This window comes from Homo sapiens, chromosome X (assembly GCF_000001405.40).
Source record: "Homo sapiens chromosome X, GRCh38.p14 Primary Assembly".
NCBI classification, from domain to species: Eukaryota; Metazoa; Chordata; class Mammalia; order Primates; family Hominidae; genus Homo; species Homo sapiens.
In genome coordinates this window covers 131,919,258-131,925,794 of record NC_000023.11, presented here as the reverse complement: position 1 = coordinate 131,925,794, position 6,537 = coordinate 131,919,258, and the positions used below count along the sequence as shown (strand labels likewise).

General features: G+C 42.3%; 2 annotated features.

The window, feature by feature from the left end:
* Window positions 1,576–2,775: an enhancer, noted in NCBI's record as "MED14-independent group 3 enhancer chrX:131057048-131058247 (GRCh37/hg19 assembly coordinates)". NCBI's record gives its function as "activates an origin of replication core promoter dependent on BRD2, BRD4, P300/CBP and CDK7 cofactors, and independent of MED14, by STARR-seq in HCT116 cells {active_cell/tissue: HCT116}" and the evidence as "EXISTENCE:reporter gene assay evidence [ECO:0000049][PMID:35650434]".
* Window positions 1,797–2,296: an enhancer, noted in NCBI's record as "H3K27ac hESC enhancer chrX:131057527-131058026 (GRCh37/hg19 assembly coordinates)". NCBI's record gives its function as "activates a minimal SCP1, AML or CMV promoter by ChIP-STARR-seq in naive H9 embryonic stem cells {active_cell/tissue: H9 hESC(naive)}" and the evidence as "EXISTENCE:reporter gene assay evidence [ECO:0000049][PMID:30033119]".

The window sequence follows — 6,537 nt, the reverse complement described above, 5'->3', positions numbered from 1 at the left end:
GTCCCTCTTTTCACCGCTGTTGCTTTTTGTTTTGTCTGATATATGAATAGCTACCCCTGCTCGCTTTTGGTGTGCATTTGCATGAAATGCCTTTTTTCCACTCCTTTATTTTAAGTTTATGTGAGTCCTTATGTGTTAGGTGAGTCTCCTGAAGGCAGCAGATAGTTGTTTGGTGAGTTCTTATCCATTCTGCTGTTCTGAATCTTTTAAGTGGGACATTTACAGCATTTACATTCAATGTTATTATTGAAATATGAGGTATAGTTGCTTTCATCATGCTCTTTGTTGCCTGTGTAGTTTGAGGTTTTTGTTTTGTTTTGTTTTGTTTTGCTTTTTAACTTGTATTTTTGTTTTATAGATCCTCTGTGATTTATGCTTTAATGAGGTTCTGTTTTGGTGTGTTTCCAAGATTTGTTTCAAGAGTTAGAGCTCCTTTTAGCAGTTCTTGTAGTGGTGGTTTGGTAATGGCGAATTCTCTCAGCTTTGTTTGTCTGAAGACGACTGTATCTTTCCTTCATATATGATGCTTTGTTTCATTGGATACAAAATTCTTGGCAGTTAATTGTTTTGTTTGAGGAGGCTGAAGATAAATCCCCAATCCCTTCTAGCTTGTAGGGCTTCTGCTGAGAAATCTGCTGTCAATCTGATAGGTTTTCCTGTATAGATTACCTGGTGCTTCTGTCTCACAGCTCTTAAGATTCTTTCCTTCTTCTTAACTTTGGATAACCTGATGACAATGTGCATAGGCGAACATCTTTTTGCGAGGAATTTTCCAGGCGTTCTTTGTGCTTCTTGTATTTGGCTGTCTAGGTCTCTTGCAAGGCTGGGGCAGTTTTCCTCAATTATTCCCCCAAATATGTTTTCCAGGCTTTTAGAATTCTCTTCTCCCTTAGGTACACTGATTTTTCTTAGGTTTGGTCGTTTAACATAATTCCAGAATTTTTGGAGGGTTTATTCATATTTTCTTACTCTTTTTTCTTTGTCTTTGTTGGATTGGGTTAATTTGAAGACCTTGTCCTTGAGCTCTGAATTTCTTTCTTATACTTGCTCAATTCTGTTGCTGAGACTTTCTAAAGTCTTTTGCATTTCTGAAAGTGTGTCCAAAGTTTCCTGAATTTTTTGTTGTTTGTTCTTTAAGCTATCTATGTCCATGAATATTTCTCCCTTCACTTCTTGTATCATTTTTTGGACTACCTTTCTCTGGTCCCTCCCTGATTAGCTTAATAACTAACCTTCTGAATTCTTTTTCAGGTAAATCAGGGATTTCTTCTTGGTTTGGATCATTGCTGGTGAAGTAGTATAATTTTGAGGGGGTGTTGAAGAGCCTCCTTTTTTCATATTACCAGGGTTGATTTATTTGTTCCTTCTCATTTGGGTAGGCTCAATCAGAGGAAATGTCTAGGGCTGAAGGCTGTAGTTCAGATTCTTTTGTCCCACGTGGTGTTCCCTTCATATAGTACTCTCCCCCTTTTCCAATGGATGTGGCTTCCTGTGAGCAGACTGCTGTGATTGTTGTGTCTCTTCTGGGGTCTAGCCGCTCAGCGAGTCTACCTGGCTCTGGGCTGGTACTGGGGGTTGTCTGCACAGAGTCCTGTGATGTGAACCATCTATGGGTCTCTCAGCCAGCAATACCAGCGCCTGTTTCAGTGGCGATATCGGAGGGTGCAATGGACTCTGTGAAGGTCCTTAGCTTTGGTGGTTTAATGTTCTTTGTGCTGATTGGCCTCTTGCCAGGAGGTGGAGCTTTCCAGAAAGCATCAGCTGTAGTAGTGTGGAGAGGAATTGGTGGTGGGCAGGGTCCTAGAACTCCCTTGTCTTCCACTACCAGGGTGGATAGGAAAGGACCACCAGGTGGGGGTGGGGCTAGGAGTGTCTGAGCTCAGATGCTCCTTGGGTGGGTCTTGCTGAGGCTGCTGTGGAGGATAGGGGTGAGATTCCCAGATCACTGGAGTTTTGTACATAGGAAGATTATGGTTGCATCTGCTGAGTCATGCAGGGTGTCAGGGAGGTGGGGGAAAGCTGGCAGTCAGAGGCCTCACCCAACTCACAAGTAAACTGAAGGGCCGGTCTCACTCCCACCGTGCCCCCTTCCCCAACAACTCTGAGTCTGTTCCCAGATGGAGGGCAAAATGGGCTTGAAAACTTGCCCAAGGCAATCCACCTCTCAGCTGCAAGAGAAAAGGGATTTAGTTCTTCCCCTACCTGTGATATTTGTGCCCTCCCCTGAGTTCTGGCCAGGAGGCTTCTTTCCCTGTTCAAATTGTTACAAAGTTCAGCTAAAGAATTCCTTCTCCCTGTTTATCCCCTACTCCTCTGACCACCCTCCCAATGGATGCCTGTGGTGCCAAGCAGGAATGGGCTGCTTGGGGACCCAGTGAGCCCCCAGGGCCTTTCTGCTGCTTCCTTTACCCCTGCATTTCACTCAGCTCTCTAACTTGACTCAGCTCCAGGTAAAGTCAGAAACTTCTCCCACAAACAGACCTTCAGCTTCCCCGGTGGGGGATGTGTTTGGGAGAGGATGGTCTCCCTTTCCCACTTCCACAGTTGGGGCACTCACAGTGTTTGGGGTGTCTCCTGGGTCCTGCAGGAGCAGTCCGCTTCCTTCAGAGCGTCTGTGGGTCATCTCGGGATTGCTGGTTTGTTATTGCAGTTAATCTGTGGCTAAAATTCACAGTGCAAGCCTCCACATGGTGCTCTGTCCAGAGCTGCAATCTAGTCCTGCCTCCAGTCTGCCATGATCTCCTGAATCTAGTTATTTTTAAACGTACAATTAAATTATTATTGACTGTAGTCACCCTGTTGTGCTATCAAATAATCGATCTTACTTAATCTAACTATTTTTTGTACCCATTAAACATTCCTACTTGGGCTGTTCTGCCCCCCACCCAACCCTTCGCAGTCTCTAGGGACCATCGTTCTACCCTTTCCATGAGTCCAATTGTTTTCATTTTTAGCTCCCAGAAATAAATGAGAACATGCAAAGTTTGTCATTCTGTGCCTGGCTTATTTCACTTAACATAAAGACCTTCAGTTCCATCCATATTGTTGCAAATGACAGGATCTCATTATTTTGTGGTGGAATAGTACTCTATTGTGTATATGCGCCACATTTTCTTTAACCATTCATCTGTTGTTGGCCACTTAGGTGGCTTCCAAATCTTGGTTATTGTGAACAGTGCTGCAGCAAACATGGGAGGGCAGATATCTTTTTGATATACTGATTTACTTCATTTTGGGCATATGCCCAGCAGTGGGATGGCTAGATCATATGGTAGCTCTATATTGAGTTTTTTGAAGAACCTCCAAACTTTTCTCCAAAGTGGTTGTACTAATTTACATTCCAACCAACAGTGTACTAGGTAGGGTTTCCTTTTCTCCGCATCCTTGCCAGCATTTGTTATTACCTGTGTTTTGGATAAAAGCTTTTTTTTACTGGGGTGAGATGATATCTCATTGTAGTTTTGATTTCCATTTCTCTGATGATCAATGATGTTGAGCACATTTTCATATACCTGTTTGCCATTTGTATGCCTTTTGAGAATTGTCTATTCAGATCTTTTTGTCCATTTTAAAATTGGATTACAGATTATTTTCTTATAGAGTTGCTTGAGCTCCCTATATATCCTAGCTATCAATCCCTTTTCAGATGGTGTATTAGTCCGTTTTCATACTGCTATAAAGAACTGCCTGAGACTGGGTAATTTATAAAGAAAGAGGTTTAATTGAATCATAGTTCAGCATGGCTGGGGAGCCCTCAGGGAACTTAGAATCACGGTGGAAGGTGAAGGGAAAGTAAGGCACCTTCTTCACAAGGTGGCAGGAAGGAGAAGTGCTGAGTGAAGTCGGAAGAGCCCCTTAGAAAACCATCAGATCTCGTGGGAACTCACTCACTATCATGAGAACAGCATGGGGAAACTACCCCCATGATCCAGTTACCTCCACCTGGTCTCTCCCTTGACACTTGGGGATTATGTGGATTATGGGAATTACAATTCAATATGAGATTTGGGTGGGGACACAAAGCCTAACCATGTCAAATGGCTAGTCTGCAAATATTTTCTCCCATTCTGTGGGTTGTCTCTTTAGTTTGTTGATTGTTTCCTTTGCTGTGCAAATGCTTTTTAGCTTGATATGATCCCATTTGTTCATTTTTGCTTTGGTTGCCTGTGTTTATGGGGTATTACTCAAGAAATCTTTGCCCAGTTCAATGTCCTGGAAAGTTTCACCAATGTTTTCTTGTAAAAGTTTCACCAATGTTTTCTTGTAAAAGTTTCATAGTTTGAGGACTTAGATTGAAGTCTTTAATCCATTTTAATTTGATTTTTGTATATGGCAAGAGATGGAGTCTAGTTTCCTTCTTCTGCATATGTATATCCAGTTTTCCCAGCACCATTTACTGAAGAGACTGTCCTTTCCCCCAGTGTATGTTTTTGGCATATTTGTAAAAAAATGAGTTCACTGTAGATGTACAAATTTCTTTCTGGGCTCTGTTCCATTGTTCTGTATGTCTGTTGTTTCTATGCATATCTTATTGTACTGTCTGTCTTGAAAAGTTGTGGTAGTTATTTTTTTATTGGTTTATCTTTTCATCTTTCTAGTTAAGATATCAGTAGTTTACACACCACAATTACGGTGTTGTAATATTCTGTGTTTTTTCCGTGTACTTAATATTACCAGTGAGTTTCACACCTTCAGATGTTTTCTTATTGCATAATAACATCCTTTACTTTCAAATTGGAGAACTCCTTTCTGCATTTCTTGTAGGACAGGTCTGATGAAATCTCTCAGATTTTGTTTCTCTGGGAAAGTGTTTATTTCTCCTTAATGTTTGAAGGGTGTTATCACTGCACAAACTCATCTAGGGTAAAAGTTTCTTTCCTTCAGCACTTTAAATATGCCACTCTCTCCTGGCCTGTAAGGTTTCTACTGGAAAGTCTGCTGCCAAAGGTATCCGAGCTCTATTGTATGTTGTTTGTTTCTTTTCTCTTGCTGCTTTTAGGATCCTTTCTTTATCGTTGACCTTTGGGAGTTTGATTATTAGCTGCCTTGAGGTAGTCTTCTTTGGGTTAATCTGCCTGGTGTTCTATAAATTTATTGTACTTGGATATTGATATCTTTCTCTAAGTTTGGGAAGTTCTCTGTTGTTATCCCTTTGAATACACTTTCTACCCCTGATGCTCTCTCTACCTCTTCTTTAATGCAAATAACACTTAGATTTGCCCTTTTGAGGCTATTTTCTAGGTCTTGTCGGTATGCCTCAATGTTTTTATTCTTTTTTTCCTCTCACCGTGTATTTTCAAATAACCTGTCTTCAAGCTCACTAATTCTTTTTTCTGCTTGATCAATTCTGCTGTTAAGAGACTGTGATGCATTCTTCAGTATTTCAATTGCATTATTCATCTCCAGAATTTCTGCTTGATTATTTTTAATTACTTCAATTCCTTTGTTAAATTTGTCTGATAGAATTCTGAATTCCTTCTCTGTGATATCTTGAATTTCTTTGAGTTTTCTCAAAACAGCTATTTTCAATTCTCTGTCTGAAATGTCACATATCTCTATCTCTCTGGGATTGGCCCCTGGTGCTTCATTTAGTTAATTTGTGAGACCATATTTCCCTGCATGGTCTTGATGATCGTGGATGTTTGTCGGTGTTGTGGCATTGAAGAGTTAGGTATGTATTGTGGTCTTTGCCATCTGGGCTTGTTTGTACCTATCCTTCTTGGAAAGGATTTCCAGGTATTCAAAAGGACCTGGGTGTTGTGATCTAAGCCATGCCTGCCTTAGGGGGCACCCTAAGCCTAGTAACACTGTAGTTCTTGCAGACTTGTAGATACCACCTTGGTGGTCTTGGATTAGATCTGGAAGAATGCTCTGGATTGCCAGGCAGAGACTCTTTCTCTTCCCTTACTTTCTCCCAAACAAACAGAGTCTCTCTTTCTCTCTCTCTCTCTCTCTCTCTCTCTCTGTTCTGATCCTCCTGGAGCTGGGGTAGAGTGACACAAGCACTTCTGTGGCCACCACCACTCGTATTACACTGTGTCAGACCTGAAGCCAGCACAGCACTGGGTCTTGCTCAAGGCCTGCTGTGACCACTACCTGGCTACCGCCTATGTTTGTTCAAGGCCCTAGGTCTCTATAATCAGCAGGTGGTCAAGCCAGCCCATCTTGTGTCTTTTCCTTCAGGGTAGTGAGATCTCCCAGGCCCTGGGCAGGTCCAAAGATGCTGGAGTTGGAAATGTTAGAAATCTGCCTAGTGCTCTACTCTACTGCAGCTAAACTGGCACCAAAACCACAAGACAAAGTCCTTCCCACTCTTTCCTCCCTGTTCTGGAGAAGAAGGAGGAGTCTCTCCCCATGTCCATCACAACCACAGTCCCACGGTGGGTACTGCCAGGGTACCACTGATGTTCACTTAATGCCCAATGGCTCTTCAGTCATCTTGTGGTGAATGCTGCCAGGCCTGGGACTCATATTTCAGAGCAGCGAGCTCTCCTCTGACCAGGGTAGGTCCAGAAAAGCTGTCTAAGAGCCAAGGAT